This window comes from Homo sapiens, chromosome 15 (genome assembly GCF_000001405.40).
Source record: "Homo sapiens chromosome 15, GRCh38.p14 Primary Assembly".
Classification (NCBI taxonomy): domain Eukaryota; kingdom Metazoa; phylum Chordata; class Mammalia; order Primates; family Hominidae; genus Homo; species Homo sapiens.
The window spans coordinates 51293280-51319272 of NC_000015.10; the positions used below are offsets into that span (position 1 = coordinate 51293280).

The window sequence follows — 25993 nt, forward strand, 5'->3', positions numbered from 1 at the left end:
GTTCAATGCCTGGTAAACAATATTGCCAACTGTAGAATTTGCACAATTGTAAACAAAATATTAGCAAGTGTGAGCTAAGAACTCCCTGGAATGAGCCAGTTGAGACCAGACTACAAGAGGTTAACTCTTATTTTTAAATGGAACTACATTTAGTCAAGAACCACTTGTGTAGGGTATGTCTTCAAATCAGACACTGTTGCCATTTGCCAGAGAAAATGTGCTTTAATTCCTTGATGCCAAAGAATGCCTGATACGCTCTCGCTCTCCCTCTCCCTCTCCCCACGGTCTCCCTCTCCCTCTCTTTCCATGGTCTCCCTCTGATGCCGATCCAAAGCTGGACTGTACTGCTGCCATCTCGGCTCACTGCAACCTCCCTGCCTGATTCTCCTGCCTCAGCCTGCCCAGTGCCTGCGATTGCAGGCGCGCGCCGCCACGCCTGACTGTTTTTCGTACTTTTTTGGTGGAGACGGGGTTCCCCTGTGTTGGCCGGGCTGGTCTCCAGCTCCTAATCGCGAGTGATCCGCCAGCCTTGGCCTCACAAGGTGCCGGGATTGCAGACGGAGTCTCGTTCACTCACTGCTCAATGGTGCCCAGGCTGGGGTGCAGTGGCGTAATCTCGGCTGGCTACAACCTCCACCTCCCAGCCGCCTGCCTTGGCCTCCCAATGTGCCAAGACTGCAGCCTCTGCCCGGCCGCCACCCCGTCTGGGAAGTGAGGAGCGTCTCTGCCTGGCCGCCCATCGTCTGGGATGTGAGGAGCCCCTCTGCCTGGCTGCCCCGTCTGGAAAGTGAGGAGCGTCTCTGCCCGGCCGCCATCCTGTCTAGGAAGTGAGGAGCGTCTCTGCCCGGCTGCCCATCGTCTGGGATGTGAGGAGCCCCTCTGCCTGGCTGCCCAGTCTGGAAAGTGAGGAGCGTCTCTGCCCGGCTGCCATCCCATCTAGGAAGTGACGAGCGCCTCTTCCCGGCCACCATCCCATCTAGGAAGTGAGGAGCGTCTCTGCCCGGCCGCCCATCGTCTGAGATGTGGGGAGCGCCTCTGCCCCGCCGCCCCGTCTGGGATGTGAGGAGCGCCTCTGCCCGGCCGCGACCCCATCTGGGAGGTGAGGAGTGTCTCTGCCCGGCCGCCCCGTCTGAGAAGTGAGGAGACCCTCCGCCTGGCAACCGCCCCGTCTGAGAAGTGAGGAGCCCCTCCGCCCGGCAGCTGCCCCGTCTGAGAAGTGAGGAGCCCCTCCGCCCGGCAGCCGCCCCATCTGGGAAGTGAGGAGCGTCTCCGCCCGGCAGCCGCCCCGTCCGGGAGGGAGGTGGGGGGATCAGCCCCCCGCCCGGCCAGCTGCCCTGTCCGGGAGGGAGGTGGGGGGGTCAGCCCCCCGCCCGGCCAGCCGCCCCGTCCGGGAGGGAGGTGGGGGGTCAGCCCCCCGCCCGGCCAGCCGCCCCGTCTGGCCAGCCGCCCCCCGGGAGGGAGGTGAGGGGCGCCTCTGCCCGGCTGCCCCTACTGGGAAGTGAGGAGCCCCTCTGCCCGGCCACCACCCCGTCTGGGAGGTGTACCCAACAGCTCATTGAGAACGGGCCATGATGACAATGGCGGTTTTGTGGAATAGAAAAGGGGGAAAGGTGGGGAAAAGATTGAGAAATAGGATGGTTGCTGTGTCTGTGTAGAAAGAGGTAGACATGGGAGACTTTTCATTTTGTTCTGTACTAAGAAAAATTCTTCTGCCTTGGGGAAAAAAAAAAAAAGAATGCCTGATACATTGTATAATGAAACCAGAATAATTGAGCTACTTGTTCATTACAAAGATCTCTAGCTGAATACTCAAAATTCTTCAGCAGCTGAGTGGGCTTGGAGCGAATTAACAACGTGTTTTTTTTTTTTTTTTTTTAATTAATTTGAGGTAGGACACAAAATATACAATAGAATTTTTTGTGAAGCACTGCTGAAGGCTTTTTACTCCAAGAAGGATCATACATTATTCTTTGTTGACAATGCCAGGGTGATTCAGAAGGACAAGTAAAATGTTAGCCAAGGCAATGCACAGGAGCGCAGACCAGCCGCACTCCAGCCCCTCTTCTCTCAGTTTCCTTAGGATCCTCTATTACCCGCTCCCCTCCATTCCTAGGCCCAGCCTGTCATTCCTCTCTATGGAGTTACTGCCAGATTGCCTTGCCTCACTGTAACTGGAACATCAATTTTCCCCATGAATCTGTGAGCCCTGCAAAGTCAGAGACTGTGCCTTGCTAACACCCTAGTCCTCAAAAGCACACAACAGAGTACTTGACACCCAGGAGGCTCTCAGGAGGCATTGCTGTTGAGTATAGAAAGCTAGAGTTAGGTAAGACATTGTGGAATATCATGGAAAAATCAGTTGAATGGAATATAATGGAAAAACCAAGTCTAAACTCAGAAAGACAGATGTGGGACAGCACTGAAGCATGGTCTCAGCATCTTCCCATCTCCTGGGCAGATAAAAGGACATTCAAGTTGAGCTGGGTCCCTCGGGTCCAGTTCTGGATGGCTTCGGGGAGCCAGCCAAGCCCTTCCGTTAGGAAGTCCTGGCAGCACGGAGGTCTGTGGAGGGCAGAGAAGAGTGAGAAAAGAGAGAAGTGACACAGTCAAATGTGGCCAGACCAGGAAAGGCAGACAAAAAGAATGTTTCTGGGAGCACATGAACGTTCTCAAGAACACAGACAGGTTGAAGATGACCATGACCAAGGACAGACTCCTGGATTTCCAGAAGCTGCTTGATGATTCTTCCATAGATTCCAGAGAAGGGAGGCTAGAAGCTGGATGGCAGGGAGGCCAGAGAGGCTGGGGCCTGGGAAAAAGATTGCATCTTTCTAGAGCCAGCATGAAGGGGAATAGGCAGGGACAGCAGCAAGCAGAGGCAGGCAAGTCAGTTGGGGGCCAGGGAAGGGGACAGACACGGGAGTTTCATTTTAGCAGTAACCCTCTGGGCAGGGGTTTTTGTAGAAGAGGCCTTGAGAGAAAGAGTCCGAGGAGAAGAGGAAAACTCCCTGAGACCTGAGGGAAAGAGAAAGAAATGGATGTCGATTTGACATGCTTTTGTGAGTGTCCCTCTCCCAAGTCAAGGTGGCAGGTGGGGGCATGACAGGGTTGGAGACCTTCACAATCACTTCTCTGCAGTGTGGGCCCGTCTCTAAAAAGAACAGACAGGCAGTCATATGGATCCATGGGCCTTTGTCAGAAGGCACTGGCACCTCTAAACTGGTGATCCCCAGCGCCAATCCATGGGGCCAGTGTACATCCGCGGGAAACTCGCTAAAATTACAGAAAATGAGGTACATTTTTCATAGTGCTAAATTCAGTTTAAAAAGTTGTTCCTTTATGCTGAGATTTATTCTCCTCACTTTTTTTGGTATTAAAATGCTTCATGTTTGCCGAACATTAAACAATGATGGTAGATCAGAGTTTGAGTTTTTTCCCTCAATGTCCTTACTTAGCAAAATTTAAAAATGGTGTTCTTAGTGGGTCCTTCCTCCTACCACCATTTATTTTTCATATTCCTGTTTGTAAAATAAATTATTGGGGAGCAATTGTTCTAAAACTAATGTTTACAGACCTTTACAGTTTTAAAAAGACAATTTTAAGAAAAATGAAGTATTTTTGAACACCAAAGGGTAGAAGTTTCTGGTTTGCTTTCCCAGATAGGATTTACAACCTCATGCCAGTGTACCAGTTGGATTGCGAACTGTTTTCTGTGAGGCCCTGGTTAAAAATGAGCAGGAGGCCAAGACTTTTTGACTCAACTGTTTCCAAAAGGGCCAAGTGACGACTTTTGTGTCCATCTCTCTCCAGAGACACCAATGAACAGGTTTGAGGTGGGAACAGGTTCGCGCAGCCCTAGGATCCCAGACCTTTAGACCTGGAAGAACTTGAGAATTTATCTTGCCCACATTATTCTGATGGAGCAGATTTACTCAAAGCCATGCAACCAACTAGTGGCAGAGCTGAGACAGGCCCAGACTCCAAACAGCCCGGCCAGCCCTCTCCCTCATCTCCACATGCCCCCATGCTTAGGTTTACACCAGCCTCCTCTTTAACAGATGAGCCTCAAGCCAAACGATAGCTGCTTTTGCCCAGCATGCTAGGTCCACCGGGGGAGACAGAGTCCCATGGAGTAAAGTGCATTTTCTCCTTTGTCATAATGGCTGTTTGCCTCAAGCGTTCAATGCCTTCCTGATTGTGTGACTCAGAGCTGCTTGCTGCAGCCTCTCATTCCCCTCCAAGAGGGGCTTCTCTTTCAATGACCCAGGGGTCAGTTCTAAGACCCAGGCTCCCATAAGCTACCTCAGCTTCCATGATTTCAATAAGGCTTTCCTGCAGACACCCCCAGTGCTCTGCTCTGCTCCCTCCCCTGTCTCCCTCCCTGCTCAATGCCTACTGCAGTAGGGGTATCTTGTTTCTAGTAAACTCTACCTGGTGTGGGTCCCAAATCTCCTATATTGGCAATAAAATTCTCATTGTAGTCTCCTTGTAGTCAAACCTGTTCATTGGTGTTTCTGGAGAGATTCACTGTAGGCATGACACACACACACACACACACACACACACACACACACACACACACACACACACCCTAGGCCTGATGGGGGCCTAACACAGTAACCTTACAGTGTGACTGTAGGGGTATTATAAAGAGGGGCATTAGGAGAGGATTTAGGCTACTCTGAGGAATGGGGGAAGATGTAGGAAGGCTTCACAGAGAAGACGTTGGAGCTGGGTGTTGAAGCAGGAGTTAGATGTGGGGAGAGGACCTTCCAAGTCTGGCTCCCTGCCCCTGGATATTGAATTAACCCCAGAGAGCAAAGCATCAGCTGAAGGGGAGTACTGCATCAAGAGGCCAGGAAGACTCACCAGCTGGAATGCCGCCACTGTTCAGGTGGCATAAAAACCAAATGGTCCTTCCTTACTGATTTGGATATGCCACCAGCTGATATTTCAGAGTTATCTGTCCACTGACTATAAACTGAGATTTAGCACCCTGATGTCATTTAAGTTACTCTGTGTCTGGTGCTTGTTTAATTAACTTATTTAGATTTTGTACAATAATTTAGTTTTATGGAGCCCATGCTAAGAAAAATAAAGTGTGATAATCGAAGCTCATTGAAACAAAGAAATCCAGAAACATTCTACTGATCTTTGTGGAAAGAGCATTCACATAGGAATCAGGAAGAGTTGGCTTCCACCTCTAGATCAGCTAAGTGCCTCAGCCCTAAACCATCATCCACTTTACTTTCTCATCTGTAGAAATTTTCTAGGGAGGGAAAAAGCAGACTAGATGGTTTCTAAGGACTCTTCTAGCTTGGCCATTTTTAGGATTAAATTCAAGGGATTCCTTTTGTGAACAGCAGTCCAAAACATTCCCTTCCATGCCCATCAATCATGTTTAGCATTTGCTTCTGAGGCTCCGAATTTCCTGGCTTTCTGAGGAACTCTTAGCATTGGTAGTTTGTTGACTTAAAAATAGCTCAACTGCTGCTGATCATCATCCCACATTAGCTACTGCTGAGGAGAAGCCAGCAGGGCTGAAGGAAGTTAGAAAAAAGGAGCTGCGTCTGGGGCAAAGAATCACCCCTGGGATAATGGGATCACTGCTTTTCCTTAAATGAGCAAAGCAGGCCTGAGCTCATTGCTAATGTGAGCTTGCCCACATGGCTAGTGGGAAGTTGGGAGAGGAGTGGCTGGGACCAGGCACCCCATCTGCCACCCCCATGCTCCATGAAGTTTTGCTGGAACCGGCAAGGCCTTTTTCTGCCCCAGAGGGCTTCACAAAGAGGTGAGGGGCCTTCCGCCAAGAGAGAGGACCCTTCCTTCCGAGGTCCTGTGTACTCCTTTCCATTGTTGATGGGCATCTTCTGTCTGAAGGGCTACTGGGCTTCTTGCCACCACCAGAGCTTCCATCTGATCTCAGGTTTACATGGCTTTCTGTTGAGCAAATAAATTCACACTCATCCCCGCCTCCAACAAGACAAAGGCGATTCATTCACAGGAGCTGCTGCTCAGCTGACAGATGTTTTGGCCTTCTGGTCCTGAAGTCAGACATGCTGCTGACCCCAAAGGTGAAAGGCTCTGTCACCCATTCTAATCCCCCTTGGCCAGTTGCTACCCAGGATCATCCAATAATTTTGACATTTGTCTTTCCTCCTCTACTCCTGCCTCCACAGCTCTTAGTGGCTCTTAGAGCTGTTTCCAGCGTGGCCTTTGGTCAGGACAGCTGGAGAATGGAAAAGATGGGCCATGTGATCAGGGCTGCTTTGCCACAGCTGCTCAAATTCTGTGTTTGCAGACCTAACTGTGCCTTTGCAAACAAAAGGCCATGAGGAGTGTTTTCATGCAGTTCCCCACACACAGAATGAGCACCCTCAGTGAGAAGTTCCTTTACAGGAATTTAATGGCAGCTGAAAAAACAAGTGCCACCTTTCTGGCTTATCCTAGCTTCGATGCTCAGCAACCTTCTACTCACTTGTTCACAGCCCAGCAGGGGAGATAAGACCTTTGCTAAACACCCTCATTTTAGAGTGTAGGGGAGCACCCAACCAAATGGTTGTTGAGTCCAGAAGAGGGCACACTGACCTCCCACTGGACACTCATTGAAGGTTCTACAGAGGAGGCGACATTTGAGCTGAGCCAAGAGGAGAGGTAGGATTTCACTGGGCAGAAATGGGGATGGGAGTGCTTTCATTCATGCAGTTACATTTGTTTGAAAGCAAGAGAATGCACAGCCAATCTGAGCAACAGGAAGAGTGAAACGGCAACCGGTAGGCAGGACCAAACCATTGTCAGTGTGCTTCCACAGCGTGTCTATCAGCTCCCCTCAGAGTCCTGAGCCACCAGGAAGTACTGACCCCAGTTTGAGTAAAACTCTTATTTAGATGATTTTCTTCATAGAAATCCATTAAAAGGGTTTTGAGGAGGAAGTGACTCCTAAGGAGCCTTTAAAAAGAGAAGGCAGATCCATGATCTCTACTTCTTGTCTAGGCTCTGTGGAGTCTTTCAACATTTTTCTACACAATTTACTGGGTTTTATGCTCATGACCTAAGCTACAACTCACGAGAGGGCCGCACGCAGCCTATTAGCTTCTCAGTGAGGAATAAGACTCTCAAGAAATCACTTTGGTGCATTTCAACTGCTTTCATAGGAGAGATCATCTCTGGGGCAGATGATTGGGTGTGATAGAGGTTTGAGTCACCTATAGGAGAATTGAGTGAAACTGACTCCTTGTTCCCCAATCAGTTGTCAAGGCAGAGAGTTTCAAAAAGAAGACCACAAAGGTGCTGCTCCTCCCACCACGCCTGCCAGGCCTGGAGCTCCAGAACCCCCTGTGCCAGCAGCCTGAATGCAGCATGTGAGCAGTACCAGCAGCAGCTCCTCCTCCAACCCTATACTGGGAACCAGCCTCTCCGCTGCCTTTCCCTCCTACAGCAAACACGCTTGCCCCCAAATTACACCGCCATTCTATGCCTTTCTTATTGTATCAAATGCTTGAGGATCCCTGTTCATGCAAACTATTTAGTTTAAAAATATATGGTAATGAGGACATTCCTCAAAGAAAATTGTAACCCACAGAGACATAAAACGGTGGTAGGCCCCAAACTGAATTTGGACACCAATATTATTGAAGGCCAGCAAAATGTTTTAGGAGAAACAGCAGGAAGGAAAAAGAGGCCAACAGAAGTGAATAGGAGGCTAAGAAAGGGAACTACCTTTCCAGGGAAGACAATGGAACCAGTTCACAGGGTGGTGAACTGTCAGAAGGGAAGTCAGATCCAAAGGTGACTGCCACATTAAGCATTAAAGAGGTATTTCGCTGGGGCTTGGAATGATCAAAGGAAAACTGGGCTTTTGAGGCAACCTACTGGGGGCAGACAGAAGCTGGAAAGACCAGCTGAAAGAACAGCTATATGAAGAAATCCCCAGAAGGCAGGTTTCTCATACTGGACTTGGCTATGTTGCCTCCTCTCTCTGATACCCTGAGATTCTTTGTTCTCCTGTATGGCTGTTCTTGCCCCTCAAAGGCAGACATTGAGCATAAAACTGAGATAGCACAAAGCTTCCTTTCCAAGTTAGATCAATTTAGCCTTTCTGGTCCTAACTTGACCAGAGGCAGGCTTCATCTCATTTGGGATGCCGGGGCTACACCTCCAAGACCAAGGCTCCTTCTGCCAAGGCAAGTACATAAAAAGTGAAGTAGAAAATGAATGCTTTTCCCCTCCCAAGGGGTCTTAGGATTGGAGGCCAGAGCCCTGCATACTGACCCCTATTTGGGCTGACCCCCCGCGTGCCTTCCTTCCCTACTTTTTCTGGCCATCCAAGACGTGCTAGTGCTCTCTCTGGCCTGGGTCTTCTGCTCGTCATCCTTTGATTGACTAGACCTGATTTGTCTGTCAGCTTCTATTTTATCAAATATCACTGGTTGCTTTGTCTTTGCAAGGCTAGGGTTACTGCTGGCTAAATTCAGCCCACTGGGAATGATTAGAATCCTCGGAAAATACTGGTTATGCTGGGATTTAAAAACAAAAGTCCAAAGCATGTGGTGCCACCAAAGATAAAACAAAACTTATTCTTGAAATTTGCACAAATATTATAAAAGTTAAGATTTTCATAATTATTTCCCTGTCAGAGAAAAAATATTCACAAGATTCCTTCTGTAACCTCCACAAAATGTAGAGCTGCAATTCTAAAATAGCAACAGTGGGGAAAAAAAGAACTGGGTATAATAAAGTGTAGGCTTCTTAATCTCCCCCTTTATCACCCAGTTACCCCTTCTTGATCATTTTTGGGGGGTTCTCATCAAGTACCTCACTGTCATGTTCTTGCCATCTAAAGTCACATTCAGTCTTTTTTTTCACCTCTACCTGCCATCATACTCTTCAAAGTATGTGTCCATTCTGGCTCTGCTGACAGGCATGAGCTAGTCAATAATCTGGAACTATTGTAAATTCAATTGAGCAGTCCTGGGCATATTCACTTTTTGGGGTTTTTCCATCTGCCATTCTCCTGTGAAGGAGCATTATTCCCCTGAGGGAATTCGCTGACCAAGAGGCCTTGCCTAGTCCCAAAGGTGTGTCATTGGCTCCACCTGCGAATCACAGACTCATAGAATCATGGGGCTGAGAGTTGGTTTAACTGCCCTCAGAGGGCCCTTGTCAAATCCAAGTCTGAGTTCTCAACTTTTAGCTAATTCAAAACAGTGGCCTATTTTCATCAGGGCAATGGTAGGCAAGATGTTAAAGCAGGCAAAGCGTGATCCTTGGTGTCCTCTTACTAGAGAAGGTGGCCAGGGTTTCCTCAGCCTTTTACCCTTCTCTGGCTTTCCCCTCTCCCCACTGTCCTCACAGATCACAGCCTCAAACTGAAGGTGTCTGGCTTCATAACTAGCACCACCTCCAATCTCTGCCTGTGGAAAGTCCCCTGCCATCTTTCGAGGTCCAGCTCAAACGCGACCTCCTCTGGCAGGCCTTCTTTGATGTCCAGCCCACGTCTTTCTCTCTTCTGAAGTCCCACAACCCTTGAAATTGCCCTGGGTTGAAACTGTACTCGGCACTTTTTGCCAGTAGACAGTAAGCTCCTCAAAGGCAGGATCCATGTCTGATTCATCTCTGGGTCCCTTGTAGGGCTATGCCCCATAAACCCTCAAGGAGGCTTGCAGGCATGGCTTGGGGAGGAGTAGGCTGTGAGGAGCTCAGGCTGGGAGTCTGCTTCTTCCTGAGGCTAGTAATTTCCCTTCCCTCTTGGTCTCCCAACCCTGAAGGACCGCTCTTTCTCTTTCACAGTCTTCAGCCAACTGTCACTGGGGGACAGAATCCTTTGGAAGGCTTCAGCTGTTAACAGTTTAGAATGTCGCTGTTCCCAGGAGCCTTTGCACTAAATAGTGGAGATGGGGTGGGCAGATGTGGAGGGGTGAAAGAGGTGAGTGAGGTTGAGAATCTTCACTCCCCAGTGACCTGCACTCTGATTAGAGAATTTAGGCAGGACAGGCTGGGCCAGGGAGGCCTTTTGAGGGTGAGAGAGCTAGTTCTTGACACCCTTCCAATCATAGCCCCTTAGTACTCTGAACTGCTTTTCCTCTCCTTCTGCCTATGCCCTTTAAAAAAAAAAAGATACATGTCCTGGAACATGCTAGTCCTTAAATAAGTAGTAATTAGTATTGTCATCACTATAAAGTCAAGAATGAAAACAACATAAACATGTGAAAATACACACAGCCCAGGCTAAACACACAAGTGCTTAGAGATGCCAAGTAGGAGATGTAGGTGGGTTTTTTTTTTTTAGGCAGAGCTTCTGAAAGTCAGTGTCCATCTGGGTTTTGAGGCATCTGCCTTCTTAGTGGAAAAAACTGTCTGAGCAAATACAAGGAAGTGAAAACCAGCAGGTTGTGTGTACACAAGAATGGCTAATAACTGAAGAGATGGTCCCTCTAAGGGGCAGATAAGTAGAGCTGATTAGATGGCAGGAGGCAGTGAGAGGGCAGAGAGGAGCCAAGTTGAAGGAACACCTGACAACCAATTCACCTTTGGCTGCAATTGCACGTGTCCATGCCTCAGTAAGAGGAAATGTCTTCTAGGAGCCTGAAAATCCCGGGCTGAGGATGATACATGGGACCTCATCCAAAGCAGCAAGTATAAAGGAAGAGGCAAGATGCAGGATGCAGCAGGGTGTTCAAATGCAGAGAGGAGGGCAGTAATAGTGGTGATAATAGTGGTTTCAGCCTTTGACGCTCAACAATTGCAGCAAAAAAGTTCAGAAAGATAAGACCAGGGAGAAAAATAGACGATCAGGGAGGAGGAAGTCATTAGAAACAACGGTGCTCTCAGGGCACTTTGGTTTAAAATATTGACCTTGTATTTAGTATTTTGCTAGTGATTTCAAAAATTAACATTTTTATTGTTTTTCTGGGTTGGAAGGTATACTGAGGGCTTGACAAATGTTGAGTTGAAGTTCTGGGCTGGCCCCACTCCCTGGTGCTAAATTTGCACAAGTGATACCCCTTATCTTGGGGGTGTTGTGGAAACCATTGCTTCCACCCCACTCATCTCTTTTTAGCCCTTAGCTAGTCAGTAAATCTTGACAAATTAAGTCCTCTTTACATGGCTTGTGCTTCTCCCTACAGTGTCACTAAGCTAATACATGCTGTAAAGTGTGGAAGGGAGCCAGCAATGCTTTCCAGAGATAAAACTCTCTCCCTATTTTTTTCCAACCCAAGCCCACTCCCATGTCAAGTTAACCATGGTTTTCAGTGGATGGTAAGATTATGGGAAATGTTTATTTCCTTTAAGCTTTCTTCATTTTCCAAATATTAATTCCATAGCTAACTTTGTTTGTTTCAATGAAAGAAAAGTAGGTTGCAGATTATTGGAGATTATTGAAGTTATTCTTAGAAAGTCTTCTGAGAGAATCCTCCTAAGTCATGAAATTCCCAGTGACTTGACCATGTCTCTTTGTCTCTTTCAAGAGAAAATCCTCAGCCTAATATTCAAGGTTTTTAATTTATTTTTTTAAATGATGCATGACAAGAAACCCTACAAGGTGAGCTTTAAAAATGCGTTTCTAAATAGAACATTTGCCATTCATCCCTCAGGTAATTGTGTCTCTTCCTTTTTTTTTTTTTTTTTTTTTTTTTTGAGACAGGGTTTCACTCTTGTCACCCAGGCTGGAGTGCAGTGGCACGATCTTGGCTTACTGGAACCTCCGCCTTCCAGGTTCAAGCGATTCTCCTGCCTCAGCCTCCCGAGCAGCTGGCATTACAGGCGCCTGCCACCACGCCCAGCTAATTTTTGTATTTTTAGTAGAGACAGGGTTTCACCATATTGGCCAGGCTAGTCTCAAACTCCTGACCTCAAGTTATCCGCCCACCTTGGCCTCCCAAAGTGCTGGGATCACAGGCGTGATCCATCGCGCCCGGCCACGTCTCTTCCTTTCAATGTAGGATGTCACTCATGAGCATCAATTCTTCACTGCATTAAGGAATGTGTGATTTTAGAAAGTGCCTGAGTATAGAATTGTGAGGGTGTGGCCTATGTCTTAGGCCTTGGAGAAACTCAGCTAGCAGAGAAGAATGGAGAAAGTGGTCATAACGTTATGATTGTCTCAAAACTAAATGCAGATAATATGACCTTGAGCTGTGAAGCACAAGATGCCACAGAGACAGGGATGTGGGATGATGGCAGTGATAGACAGGGACACAGGATGAAAAGGGCTTTGGGCCTAGTGAGACCCTGAGCAGAGGAGCCAGCTGGTACCATGAGATAATAAATTTGTGTGTGTGTTTTCGTTTGTTTGTTTTGAGACAGAGTCTCACTCTGTCGCCCAGGATGGAGTGCAATGGTGCAATCTTGGCTTACTGCAACCTCTGCCTCCTGGGTTCAAGCAATTCTCCTGCCTCAGCCTCCTGAGTAGCTGGAACTACAGGCATGCATCACCACACTGGGCTAATTTTTGTATTTTTAGTAGAAACGGGGTTTCACTATGTTGGCCAGGCTGGTCTCGAACTCCTGACCTCAGGTGATCCGCCCTCCTTGGTCTCCCAAAGTGTTGGGGTTACAAGCATGAGCCACTGCGCGCCACCTTGTATTGCTTTAAATTAATAAGCTTTGGTAATTACATAGCAACAGAAAACTAATACAGTGAGTAAAGAGGGAAGTAAATGTTGAGGACCGAAAGGATGCTACATCTGGGGCGCTATGAGAAGCTGGGAAGCAAAAAAGCACCCTGGCTGGCTGGAGTCATTCTGTCAGAGGTGTTGAAATATAGTCAAGCAAAGAAAACCTGCTCTCCTCCTTAGGAGAGCAGCACTTGAATCCCCCTGGCAGGGATTAAACCCAAAGTCTCCTTTATGAGAGGAGTGCTCAGGTGACTGGTGCTGGATATGGCTCCATGACTTCTACCCAAGAAAAGCTTGGTAGGGAGAGTGGACTCAAGACAGAGGTGAGGTGTACACACTCGGGTACACACAAGCACTGCCATTTTGTGGTGCATTCCCAGTTCTTTCAGAATATTGGAGAAATAAAAGCACAGCCAGTTTATTTTTCCTCCAAAAGAGCCAATATTTGGGTTTTCTTTCTTCTTTTTTACATTTTTGGAAGGGTGACAGCAGTTTTTGTTTTTTTGTTTTTTGTTTTTTTTCTAAAAACTAGTGAATCATTTTAATGTTTAAATCATAAAGGATTCAGAGGGACTATTTCTTTAACGTTGGAAATAATTGGAAGTTATGTAATTTGCACAGAAAGAACAAATAGCTTAAAAAAAACCCTTTATCTCCTTTTCTTGCACCATCTCAAGGGCCCTAAATCCCCACTGGAAACATTTTTAATGACAAAGTTATCTTTATGAAATTGCAAAGTTCTAGTAAATTAAATAATAGAATATTAAGTACCTATTCTGTGAAAAAGCACGGCACTGTGCCATGATGATGTCTATAACACAGAAGCAAGTTACAGACATAGAAAGACAATTAACAATACAGGATAATTGTACATGGCACAAGGAGTCCAGACAATCAAAGGTGGAATTGCTAAGGAGGAGGGAAATTATCTAGAGTCCAGGCAACCAGACTTAAGCCCTTCTTGGAAGGAAGGATGACTGTCCATCAGTGGTGAGGAATGAGAAGAAGAGAACTGAAAAGGCACGGGTAAAGTTGGGAAGATCAGAAGGGTCTAGACATATTGATGATAATAAGTAAACCAGATAATGGCAAGCCAGAGATAATAAGTAAACCAGGTGGTATTCACAACAGGAAGTAGGGGAGATGTTTGGAAAAGCAATCAGTGGTGGAAGTTTTGATCGCTGAGTCTAGACCTTTCCAATCTGCAATGGAAAGCCACTGGAGGCTTTTGGAGCCAACGAAAGCAAACGTGCCATGAAGATCCATGATTAGTAGTGTTTGGTTTTGTTTGGATTGGTGGCAGGGAGCCTGGTGAGAGTTGATGGCACTGATGAGGACCTAGCCAGGGCAGTGGCAATGGAAAGGAGAGGAGAAGGTGGCATTTGAACTACTATATACAGAAAAATCAAAAGGACATGATGCCACCCTAGAAAATCTATTGATGTCACAAGGCTTCAAAGATTTTGGCTGAGACCTTGCTTCTTTGAGGGGGGACAAGTGGTCTCAGGTAATCTTCTTTCTCTTTGCAGAAGAATATAATTTTAGTGTGCTTACTCTAACATTCTTACAGAATTAGCTCATGACTAATTAAGAGTGTCAGAGATTTAAAAAATTAGTCATGTCTGGCACAGAGCATGGTAGTGGTGTGAAAGAGCTGCCCGGAGCAAGTATGTGACAACTTTTAAAGATGCTCTTTGGGTGCAGGTTGGTGCCAAAAGTGCTGCTCGAGCTATGAGATTCCATGGGCTCCCGTATATCATCATCTTTGGTTCCCAGCTAAGCTGTCAACTTCTGGGTTTGCCTCAATTTCCTTCTCATGGAAATAGGGCCTCAAAAGAGGAGCACCCTGAGAAATGTATGTGATTAGCCCTAATGCCAGTTTCATTTTCCCCCACCCAACCACTTGACATTGTTCTTTCATCCTCTCTGCAGCAGTTGTGAAACTGAGCCATCAACTGTGCCTAGAGATCACTGAAGTGAAGGACCGGAGACACTAAAGCTAAGAGTTAACGTTTATTGAGCATCTACAGTATACCAAGCCCTCTTCTAGAAACAAATGAACACAAAGTTCTTGGCACAGTGCCTGGCACAGTCAGGCTCCATCAAGTTTCATTTCCTTTCTCCCTGCTATTAAATGAGAAAGAGGGCATGAGGAGGTGGGAGTAAAGGAGCCAGAAAGGGAAGGTAGGAGACTGGCAAGAAGAAGCTCTGGCTGCTCTGGGATGCAACATGCAGGTTCCCGCAACCCTCCTGGAGTAGGAGGAGAAGCTGCCCCTCACTGACCACTCAGGAAGGAGAGAAGCTTCCCATGTCAACGCCCCCAGCTCTCATCTGGGTCAGAGCCAGCAATGAGGACAGGTGGGAGAGTAGAAGGAATGACTCTTCTCCCTTGGGCTGCCTCTGATCCCCACCAAGTCGGTCCTCTGTCCCCAACTTACCCTCCTGGTCAGAGGAAAATGTCCTGGGAAATAATCCCTGCCTTCTCTTGTTTTTTCTTCCTTTGTTTCATAGTTAGTTTCTGCATCATTTTAGTTTTTTTTAAAGAGGGGAATAAGCACTTGATTGAATTATATCCCAGGGAGGTATAGGTCTGAAGAACCTGAGATCTGGCTTCCCAGTGGGCATCTTCCTCTCTTGTGAGCCCCCAGACTCTGCTGTCAGTGGTAAGGTCTCCTTTCCCCAAACTCCTCCCCAGTATGGCTCACATGTCACTTAGAAGACTGCTGGGGCTCTAGTGGTATGAAGAGGTACATATTCAGACCCCAAAGTCTTAGAGGCCGGCGCAGTAGGTAAACTAGATAAACAGAACCCACACTCAGGAGACCTGGATTCTAGTCTACAATTTGCCAGCTAATACCTTGAGAAAAATCACGTCACTTCTGAGTCTCGGTCTCCTCGTCTACCACACAGGAAACACAACACTTATCACACAGGCCTGCTGGATTGCTGTAAGGGTGGTAAAATAACTCATGCACAGGGTACCCTTGCTGACACACGGCACCTACTTGTGCTCGCTAAATGGCTGAACCCTGATTCTTCCCTCCCACATTTACTTCCTTTCCCAGATCCAATCCTCTGGCATTACATCAATGCAGAAAGAGAAGGTAAGTGCTTTCAAAGAGAAAAGGCAGCAGAGGTGGGCTGGGGGAGTGTTATGGACTGAGTGTTTGTGTTCCCCCAAAATTCACATGTTGAAATTGAATCCCCAGTGTGATGGTATTATGTGGTGGGACCTTTTGAGGTGATTAGGTCATGAGGGTGGAGCCCACATGAATTGGATTGGTGCCTCTGTAAGAAGAGGTACCAGACGGCTTTTTAGCTCTCTTTCTGCTATGTGAGAATACAGCAAAAGTTGGCAAAGACCCTTGCCAGAACCTGTCTCTGCTAGCACCCTGATCTCAGATTTCTAGCCTCCAGAACAATGAGAAATAAATGTTTGTTGGTTAAGCTACCCGGTCTATGGTAATTTGTTATAGTGATTTGAACTAAGACAAAGATATGGTTAATCTGCTTTATGAAGGATTATCTCCTTGGCAGATGGCCCCCAACTCCCCCACTCTTTATTTTTAAATATCAGATTCTATCTACTAAAAGTGCTATCTGAACACTCTCCATTGTCTTCACTTCCCTTTTGAGTTCTGGAGCCCCAAAACAGACTGTGTTCTCTAAGTCTATGTTTAGTAGGCAAGAAGACTGTTAAAAACAGGTAATCTAGGCATTTGTAGAGTTCACAAAACAAAAGGAGAATTTTATATACTGTTTTTTAATATATAGTGCTTTACTGTTGGTTCCGCTCAGAGGAGAGAAACAATGATAGAAGTTTCTAGAAGGGCAAAGCTCCAGAATCAGGCTAGAAATTGCTCTCTGACAAGGTGTTGTGGTTCTCAGATCCACAAGATGTCTTGGGAAAGAAGCTTTCAAGCTTGGATCTTAAATTTTTACTGAAAATCCCTTTATTCCACTCGCCCATGAGCTACTTGAGGGTGGGCACTATGTCTTAGTCATTTTTGTGTCTCCAGGATATAGCATATGGTGGGCACCCACTACGTCTTTGTTGAATGAGCATTGTTTTAAGTGTCTACCCAAATAAGGTAGAAAACTTGGAGCCATAGACTCCTGGGACCTGCCACCACCAGGCCAGGGAATATAGGATTCCCAAATACAGGTTCTATTTTGGGATTCTGTCCGTGAAAGTCCTGGGGAAGCACTAACCAAAAAAGATGAATTCCAACTGTGTTGCTCAACTTCTAGTTCCAACCAAATGGAAGGCATGCATTGCACACTATCTCCCTCACTGATTACAACCAAACACTCTTAACAAAATACAAAAAAAACAATTAACTGAGGTCTCTGAAAAGTCCTCTAAAAGCAGCTAGATTGCGAAAAGAAGTCAAAATTTGCTGAATGACCAATATGGTGATGGTGAATTTCCTGGAATTTGTTTTCTCCTGGCTTTGGCCCAAGGGTGAGCTGAATCATGAGACCTCCCAGCAGTCATAGACAGCAACAACCCCAAGAAATGGCCCATCTTTCTGGATAGATAATCTGGAAAAGGGGCCTCTGCAAGACAAAAAGTGTGGGGAAAATCTTTGTCTTTTTTTCTCTCTCAGCTTGGACACACAGTCAGATGCAGCCCCCAAACTGTATCGCCATCACCTTGGCAGCAGCTTGAGCACTAAAATCTCAAGAGAAAACCTGTCCCTTTGGGTACAGAAATTCAGAAAAGGGGTCCCTGTTATGTCAAAAGTATCAGGGGAGTCCTCACTTTTTTCCCCTTGCACTTTGCTCTAAGGTCTGGCCAAGTGGCATGAAACTTTGTGACATCATCAGCGGCTCCAGCTCTGAGAGAAATCCATCCTTCTAGCCAGAGGACCAGGAAAAGGAGCTGGTCCTTTTCCGGCAAGACGGAACTCTTGCAGAGGAAAGAGGGGGAGAAAGGGATTCCATGTAGGAGCCAGCACAAGTCCTGACCTCACCTCCAAGATGTGCATGTGTGGAACACAAACAGCATTAACAAAGGCTTTGAAAACTGAGCTGACGTTGAGACCACTGCCTACACAAGATGAGACAGAGCTTGCTGTTGAACTTAACGGGGTTGATTACCTGCTAAAACAAAACAAAACTCAACATGCTTTATGATTTTAACAGGACCCAGAGTCTCATAGTATACTATATGAAATGTCCAGGAAACAATTTAAAACTACCCAAAGTGATAAGGACCAGGAAAACATGACCAGTTCTCAAGGGAAAAGATAAGACAATGTTGGAACTGGAAAAAAAAAACTCCGAAGCATCTATTATAATCATCCTGCGTGACATAAAGGTGAATGCTCTTACAATGAATGGAAAAATAGAAATTCTCAGTCAAGCAATAGAAATTATATAAAAGAAGAACCAAATGGCAATATATTAGAACTGAGAAACACAATATCTGAAATAAATTCACTGGATGGGCCCAATAGCAGAATGCAAATGACAGAGGTAATGTCAGTAGACTAGAAGGTAGATCATCAGAAATTATCCAATGTGAAAGATAGAAAAGTGTTTGAAAAATAATGAATAAAGCCTCGAGGATCTGTGGGACAATACCAAATGGTCTAATGTTCATGTCATTGGAATCCTTAAAGGCAAGGAGAAAGAGATTGTTATAGAACAAAATATTTGAAAAAACAATGGCTGAAAACTTCCCAGATTTGATGACTGACATAAATTTAAGATTCAAGTAGCTCGTTAAACCTCTAACAGGATAAATGTAAACAAAACTGAATGTCCCACAACTCCCTACCTTCCTACCCGCCAATGCCCTCCTCCTCACTTATCTGGACTCTGAAAGCATCTGAGCTTTTGACCCTGGGGTAAGGGAAGTAGCACATGAATAGGAGTCAGACCTCTGGGGATTTTAACCCTGGCTCACTGACATGTGTGAGGGCTGGAGAAAACCAGTCTTTCTGCCTGGGCCTCAGTTCCTCACCTGAAAAAAATCTCAGGGTTGAACTAGACAGTCTTCTAAGCCCCTTCAGCTCTAAAATACCACCCTTTATGAACTCTTATGTGAAATTTTTCTGTTCAAAAATAATATTATATATCAAACCCTAATGCTATGAAACAAAAAACTGCTTTTCTGCCAAGAGTCTTTTCAATCCTTATAATGGTGCAAGTGACTGAAATGAAGATGGTCACAGAACAGAACCAAAAATGGAGTTCATAGCAACCAGAATGGAAGTCAGCTTTCCCAGCAGCTTCCGGCAGAGCCCTGCAAGCACCATGGGAAGCCTGGAATTCATTGGAAAGGACAGGAAGCTCTGTAGAAAACTTTTCATTTTCAATAAATGCATTTCCAATTTCATCATGTTTTCCAGATGCTAAGGCACAGAATATAATGCCCCATTGCCTTGGACTCTGAGTTTGGCGTCCAGTCTGTCAGACTATGTTAACTCACCCATATATGTAAACACATTAACAAGCACCGTTTGCATAGCATTTTACAGTTTACAGAGCAGCTCCAGATGCATTACATCATTTCATCCTCCCAACCTCTGAGGTTGCAATCATCTGTTTCCTCAGAAAAAACAGTCTGAGAGAAGTGGAGGTTTTCCTCCAGACCATCCAGCCCTAGCTTCTCTGGCTTCCAAATTTGTCCTCTTTCCCATCACCAAGAACCAAAGTCCTGGGTAATGCCGGAGCCACGCTGTGAGCACCAGCCTTTGGGCCAGGGGCCGATTATCCCACATTTGCAGAACAGGCTGGAGAAGATTCAGATCTTCTCAGCTCATTTCTCCAGATAGAAACATGTTGCTGAGAGCTGGCTCCAAACCCTTCTCTCCCGCTTCCATTCCCTCCTTTGCCCTGAGGCAGATGGCTTGGCTTGGAGAGGCTCTCTGGTGTTAGACGCAGCAAGTTTTTCTTTCCCACACCCCATATATGATGGCTCTTTTGAAAATATCTTTCCTCCCCTCCCTCCAGCTGCTTGTGAGGGTGCAGGGCTTTAACTCAAGCAGACTTGGGGATGGATGGGACTCCTTCAGGTTTCACTGTTGACTGGCCTTGAAGAGCTTTGTGGCTTGGCCCCCACTTGCTCTCCTCTCTGCCAAGGCGTTGTGGTTCCCTCCCACTCTTGCACCTTCATGTGGCCCCCACTCTGCCCTGGTGTGCTGGAGGTCATCTTCCCTCCCTTCATGAGCCATTTTCAGCTCATTTTTTGGGCATATTGTCTCTTCATTTGCAAGAAAAAATACAAAGTAGTCTCTGTGAGTGTGATGATTCTGAGTCATTGCATACTGTCATCATTCTAGAACAAAAAGATGTCAAAAGGTGAGTGGATTGATTTCATCTGCAAGGGAATAGGCCTTCTCTTCTTTGTTTTATTCTCTTCTTTGTTTTACCCTTGATGACTCATTCAACCTGAATCAAAGCTGAGTAGTCTTGGCCTTCAAATAGGAGGCTGGGGTGGTGGGGAGCAGAGCAGAGGCACCACCTAAACTGGGGCCATAGGCCTGAACCTTAGGAGCCATGTTCTTATGGCATGGAGCCTGCAGAAGGGGCTGAGAAAATAGAGAGGTAGCATGCAGAGCCCTTGCTCACGTTTGGACCTCGGTTTTCCCATCTATAAAAAACTTAAGGCCAGGCACAGTGGCTCATGCCTGTAATCCCAGCACTTTGGGAGGCTGAGGTGGGGGGATCACTTGAGGTCAGGAGTTCAAGACCAGCCTGGCCAACATGGTGAAATCCCATCTCTACTAAAAATACAAAAATTAGCTGGGCATGGTGGCGGGCATCTATAATCCCAGCTACTCAGGAGGCTGAGGCAGGAGAATCACTTGAACCTGGGAGGCGGAGGTTGCAGTGAGCTGAGATCATACCACTGCAGTCCAGCCTGGGCGACAGAGTGAGACTCTATCTCAAAACAAACAAAAAACCTCAAAAGGATCACACAAGAGCAGGTTGGGAAAGGGCTGGGGTGCGTGGTCTCAGTGTAAATATTTCCCTGACTGACTGTGCTTTCCTACCTTGGAATTGGAACCTTGATTCAAGAAAGGTTCAACGCTCACCTGGCTTAGGAACCTGGAGAGATGGAGAGAACAGGCTTTGCTGTCAGACAGACTTAGGTTTGGATACTCCCTCTCCTCCTTCCTCGCTGTGTGACCCTAGAATAATTACCCAACGTCTCTGAGTCTCGGTTTTGAGAGGGTGAGTAATTATTCTAGGGTCACACAGCCAGGAGGGAGCAGAGGGAATATCCAAACCTAAGTCTTCCACGGCCTTGGATTCATGTAGTCTCCCTGATGGGTTTGCTGGCCTCACTCACCAGTGCGGCCTATGAGGCAGGACTCTGCAGGAGCCTAGAAGTAGTGAAGCAACACCCTGGGACAGCAGCTTTCAACATGGGGACTAGACCACAGCAGGAGGCCTATGAGAATAAAAGTATTGATTTTGGGAAAGAGGGACTTTTTGCCTTTATCATGGTGGAAGCCAGTATCTGTGGAGTCTCAGGCATGTTGGGCTTTTAGTGGTCCACAGACCCCCTGAGGTTCCTACATAGGTGGCCCGGGGGTCCATGAAAAGCTCTGTGCCATTCTGGGAGAGTGATGAGATTCATCTCTGTAGTCCCTCCTTTCAATAAGAGTTTTAGTAACACCCCCTGGAGAATCAGTTCTTTGGGACTCTCCCAAGAAAACCATGACCAAATCATGCTAAACAAATCACACACTGTTCTGCCTTAGAACTCTAACTTGCATCATTGTTTAGCCTGGAATGTCCTCTCTACCCACCAAAATCCTACCCATGTCGGAGACCCAGCTCCAATTCTAACTCTTCTAGAAAGTCCTTCAAAATCTCTCTAGCCCATTGCAATTTTTCCTTGCTCAAAACACATGGTCATGCCACCATTTTCTTCCTGGAGAATGGCTATTGCTTTTGTTTGTCAGCCTCTGTCTTTGTTTCTTCATAAGTGTTGGTTTCCTCCATTTTCCTCATTTCCTACTTCCGACCCAGTCTCCAAACCTGTTGGTTGTACCTCTTAAAGATGTCTCAAATTCCTCAACCTCTCTGCACCTCTCTGGGCTGTTTCCTGGTTCAAGCCACTGTCCCTGGCAACAGCTCCTAATTGACCTCTCTGAATCCGATCCTGCTTGCTTTCATCCACTCTCTACCCCGAGGCCAGAGGACTCTAACATACAAATCTGCTGCTTCAAGCCCTTTATCTCACTGGCCTTGAGATAACACAGAAACTCTCCAACAGGCCTTTCAAAGTCCTTCACTTACGGGCCCCTGCCTACCTTGCTGGTTGTGTTTCTCAACACTCCCCACCTTCACCACCACCGTCACCCAGGCCTGCTGCAGTCCGGTCAGAAGGTTATGCGTGCTTCTGCACATTCTCTCCATGGGGAGTACACTTCCGTCCCAACTGCCAGACCCCTCATGGTGCATGCTTAGCTCACACATACTCAGTCTTCGGGTTTCCACTGTAATGATATCTCACCCACTCAGCCTTGCCCACCCTACCCCAGTCTACACCCAGAGTACCCCCTCCCCTCCCCATCACTGCAATCTTCATTTCATTTTGTAGTTGCTTGTTTACTTGCCTCTGTCCTTCACTAGACTACAAGCAATTTTAGAGCAAGAACCATATCTGCACAGTTTACTGTTGTATACCCAGTTATATGGTTCTTGCTCTAAACCCAGTGCCAGGCTCAGTGTCTGCTGTTGGTAGAGGCTCAAGAAATAATTCTTGAATAAATGAATGAAAAGTAGAATGAACCTATACATCCAGGCCCTCAAGGGCAGTGACTATTCCTCATGCTTCCCTGGATCTCCCTTCAGTGCCTAATTCAGGGCCCTGCAGATTCTGGGTGCCAAGGAAAGGAAGTGATTGTTTGCTCTTAGCAAAAAGGCCTCGTTATTTTAATAGCACGCTCCTCTATTTCTTCATGTTTCCCTCTCTTCAGATGGAAACTTGAACTACGTGCTGGCAAGAATGTGGCTGACAACACGGTGACCTGGATCTGCCTCCAGGGGTGCTGGCAGAGCAGGGCTCTCACGCAGGGTTAGGAGATGCACAGAATTCAAGGCTTCCGAGTGACAGTTAGCAGAACCTGAATGGGCTGCTCATCAAGGAAAAAGCCCTGATGGAGTCCAGGAACTCAAGTCCCAGTTCTGGTTCCTTCGCCATTCAGCTGTGCCATCATGGGCACATCACTTAGCCTCACTGGAGTTCAGTTTCCTCAGTAGTAAAATGTGGTAAGGTAAGGGGAAGGACTAATAATTTATCTTCACTTACAACTCTGAGTTATTATTCTATGAAAAAAATATGTTGGCTGGGCATGTTGGCTCATGTCTCTAATCCCAGCACTTTGGGAGTTTGAGACAGGAGGATTGCTTGAGCCAGGAGTTCAAGACCAGCCTGGGCAACATAGCGAGATCCTGTCTCTACAAAAAATAAAAAAGAAAAAACATGTCATCATATTTCCACTAGAGGTGAAGAAAAATTGGGCTGTTTTCAACCTAAAAGTCAGGACAATTAACTTATCTAAAATGAGTTAAGTGTTTTGTAATAATAATCTCATATATTAGATAGGGCTTTAAACTTCTTAGTGAGTTTTTATATTTTTGGTTCTTTCAGTAGCTGTGGCAGAGGCACTGTATGGGTTGTGAATATCTGTTCTCCCAGTCTCCCCTATCAATTTTATTAGAAATGGCAATATGGCCAGGTATGGTGGCTCACCCCTGTAATCCCAACTCTTTGGAAGGCCGAAGTGGGTGCATTGCTTGAGCCCAGGAGTTGGAGAGCAGCCTGGGCAACATGGGGAGACCTCTGTCTCTTAAAAAAAAAAAAAGGAAGAAAGAAAAGAAAGAAAGAAGGAATGGCAATATGTGCAGTTAAAAACTATATTCCCCAGCCTCTCTTGCAGCTGGATATGACCATGTGACTAAGTTCTAGCCAAAAAGCTATAAGCAAAAGTGTCATGTGCAGCATTTAGGAAGCCTCCCTTAAGGAAGAGAATGCATGCTTTGCCCTTTTCATCCTTTGCTGGCTAAATGAGAATAAGATGTCTGAAACCCAGGCAGCCATATGGGACTATGAGGTAGGGTGCCAAGAGTGCTGGTGTGGCAAGACAGAGGGAGCATGGGTCCCCAACACAAGGAGCCACCTTCCCAGTCCTGGGCTACCCTCCTTTTAGGATTCTTTTGGCATAAGGGAAAAATCACTTCTTTTTTTTTTTTTTTTTGACAGAGTCTCACTCTATCGCCCAGGCTAGAGTGCAATAGCACATTCTCAGCTCACTGCAAGCTCTGCCTCCCAGGTTCACGCCATTCTCCTGTCTCAGCCTCCCGAGTAGCTGGGACTACAGGCCTCCACCACCATGCCTGGCTAATTATTATTTTTTTTGTATTTTTAGTAGAGACAGGGTTTCACCATGTTAGCCAGGATGGTCTTGATCTCCTGACCTCGTGATCGGCCTGCCTTGGCCTCCCAAAGTGCTGGGATTACAGGCGTGAGCCACTGCGCCCGGCAAGAGAAAAATCACTTCTAACTTGCTAAATAAATATTATTTTTGTTTTCCTGCCCCAAACCTAATCCTAACTGAGAAAACAATGATCTGCTTTATGCAAGCCCCTGTGCAAGATGCTGCAGGGGATGCAAAGGTATATGGGCTTTAGATACACAGAGATTTGGGCAAGAACATTCACCCCCACACAGAATGCAAGAACATTCTGTCTAGGGGTGAAAGAAAGGCCCAGAAGAGTTTGATATGGCAGAACCATGTGGGCATGAAGAGGACTCATGGGAGCTGTGGTGAGGGAATATGATGGAAGGTTCTTGAATGCCAGGCTAATGAGGCTGGAGTTCATCCTGTGACAGAGCAGATAATCTTGTTCCAATGTACAAATGAAGAAGCCCAGACCTCAATAGGTTGAAGGACTTGTCCAAGGTCACCCAGCCAGGGAGTGGCAGAGCCCATCTCAATTCTCCTGACACTTGGTCCAGTGCTATCCTTCAATTCTGTGCTCTTTGAGAGAATCTGGGGCAGACGGAGTATAAAGATTTCACACTTTGACACAGCCAGGGAACACGACTGTATCTCCCCACCCCCATCACACCCCAACATGTTCAAGAGGGGGCTTTGGGTGTTGCTAGAAGTGTAGGATCTGGACCTATCCTTAACTCAGAGCACTCTCCCTGGGCCTCCTGTGTAGCTCCCCTCACAAGGCTGTCACAGCTGGGGTGCTATCCCACTGTGTAGTAAGTACCAATGTGTCTAGCACAGTGCTCGGTGCTTTATGTACATGATCTAATTTACTGCCCTCAACAGTCTAAAAATGTAAAAAAAAAAATTTACAGGTGAATATGAAGAAACTGAGGATCTAAGAAATGAAGCCACTTAATTAAAGCCACTCAGTTGATAGCAAAGTGGAGATGCAAAGCCATGTTTGTTCAGCTCCAAAGATAAGTTCCAACAACCACATTCTAACATCTTCCTGATCCCTGCCAAAGCACAGAACAGTCTCTTGTCCCTACTCAGACTCCAAGGACTTACCTGGTTTGATGGGCTGACCAGTGCCAGGGACCTCCTGTCAGGCTCCAGTTGGTCACGTTCTACTTGGAGCCAGGAGCCAGTTTCCCATCACATCACTCATGCCCCGCCCATGACCCCACATGGGTCAGGGATCTCCTGGAGAGGGGGCAGGCCTCTGCCTTCTGTGACCTCAATCTTCCTGGGACTCTTAGTCTTGGTTGGTCATGGGGCAGGGGTGTCAGAGTTTTCCCAATCTAGTTTCTAGATTTCACAGATTCCAGAGGGCTGTTTCCTGGGATCAAGGACACTTTGTTTTTTGTGTCCTGACTGTGGCTGTCATGGTTAGAATGCATTCATTATGAATCGAGCTGACATTCTTTCAGGAAACAACTGGTCATTAGAACAGAATCTTCTCTCATTACCAGCATTTGGAAAGTTGAGTTTCATTTTGTCGGTCATTCAATGTGCATCTTTCCAATAATGTGGTATGTCCAGCATTCCAGCATGAACCACATATTTCCCCAAGCTGACCATACAGCTTTCTTCTGGAACTTTCACAGGAAACACCCTGAGATGTAGCCTGCAGAGCTGAAGACGACAGATGAACCTCAGCCCCTCTGCATTCATTGCGCAACTATGAGGGGACAAGCACTTTGCCCTCAGTTGTCGTCAGCCCACACTATTCCTGTCTGGCACAGCCTTCCTTCCCATTGGCCAAACTCTCACCATTCCTTTTCAAGCTCCGCCTAAGTGTCTCACCCCTACACCCTTTCCCTTAATCAGGCTGAAGTTGGAATGTGTTCACCCAATTTTATTACAACTAAATATATTCAGCTTAGCCTAAGCTTTAGCAGATTTTAA

General features: G+C 46.5%; 1 protein-coding gene, 2 long non-coding RNA genes and 2 other non-coding genes across 8 annotated transcripts in view, besides 9 other annotated features; 3 read left to right on the forward strand and 2 right to left on the reverse strand.

Annotated features, from left to right (window-relative positions):
* The window catches only part of MIR4713HG (MIR4713 host gene), a 256425-nt gene extending 255792 nt beyond the window's left edge, over positions 1 to 633 (forward strand). Inside the window, exon 3 of the long non-coding RNA NR_146310.1 lies at positions 335 to 633. This is a non-coding gene — a long non-coding RNA (MIR4713 host gene). The remainder of the gene's footprint in view (positions 1 to 334) is intronic.
* CYP19A1 (cytochrome P450 family 19 subfamily A member 1) overlaps positions 1 to 25993 on the reverse strand; it is a 130540-nt gene that overhangs the window by 85223 nt on the left and 19324 nt on the right. Inside the window, exon 1 of one of the 4 annotated variants that reach the window (NM_001347249.2) lies at positions 25154 to 25218. The exons of the other annotated variants lie outside the window; for them this stretch is intronic. The gene's annotated coding sequence lies outside the window, so the exon portion shown is untranslated. Of the gene's footprint in view, positions 1 to 25153; positions 25219 to 25993 lie in introns of those variants that run through there. 4 annotated transcript variants of the gene reach the window in all.
* Positions 1817 to 16068, forward strand: LOC124903493 (uncharacterized). Its single transcript, XR_007064634.1, has 2 exons — positions 1817 to 14975; positions 15683 to 16068. It is a non-coding gene; the product is annotated as an uncharacterized LOC124903493 (long non-coding RNA).
* Positions 20753 to 20828, reverse strand: MIR7973-2 (microRNA 7973-2). Its single transcript, NR_107013.1, has one exon. It is a non-coding gene; the product is annotated as a microRNA 7973-2 (primary transcript).
* MIR7973-1 (microRNA 7973-1) lies at positions 20755 to 20830 on the forward strand. Its single transcript, NR_107012.1, has one exon. It is a non-coding gene; the product is annotated as a microRNA 7973-1 (primary transcript).
* Positions 25244 to 25723: a promoter, noted in NCBI's record as "-310 to +170 promoter". NCBI's record gives the evidence for it as "EXISTENCE:reporter gene assay evidence [ECO:0000049][PMID:7776980]".
* Positions 25244 to 25929: a promoter, noted in NCBI's record as "-515 to +170 promoter". NCBI's record gives the evidence for it as "EXISTENCE:reporter gene assay evidence [ECO:0000049][PMID:7776980]".
* Positions 25249 to 25268: a protein binding site, noted in NCBI's record as "Sp1-like site". NCBI's record gives the evidence for it as "EXISTENCE:protein binding evidence [ECO:0000024][PMID:7776980]".
* Positions 25315 to 25331: a protein binding site, noted in NCBI's record as "RORE". NCBI's record gives its function as "positive regulation of promoter activity" and the evidence as "EXISTENCE:protein binding evidence [ECO:0000024][PMID:19439415]".
* Positions 25531 to 25555: a protein binding site, noted in NCBI's record as "GRE". NCBI's record gives its function as "mediates induction by glucocorticoids" and the evidence as "EXISTENCE:protein binding evidence [ECO:0000024][PMID:7776980]".
* Positions 25602 to 25625: a protein binding site, noted in NCBI's record as "I-4-Runx2-2". NCBI's record gives the evidence for it as "EXISTENCE:protein binding evidence [ECO:0000024][PMID:20231365]".
* Positions 25636 to 25653: a protein binding site, noted in NCBI's record as "I.4-Runx2-1". NCBI's record gives the evidence for it as "EXISTENCE:protein binding evidence [ECO:0000024][PMID:20231365]".
* Positions 25682 to 25701: a protein binding site, noted in NCBI's record as "GAS element". NCBI's record gives its function as "mediates induction by JAK/STAT signaling pathway" and the evidence as "EXISTENCE:protein binding evidence [ECO:0000024][PMID:7608217]".
* Positions 25903 to 25920: a protein binding site, noted in NCBI's record as "AP-1 arom site". NCBI's record gives the evidence for it as "EXISTENCE:protein binding evidence [ECO:0000024][PMID:8923461]".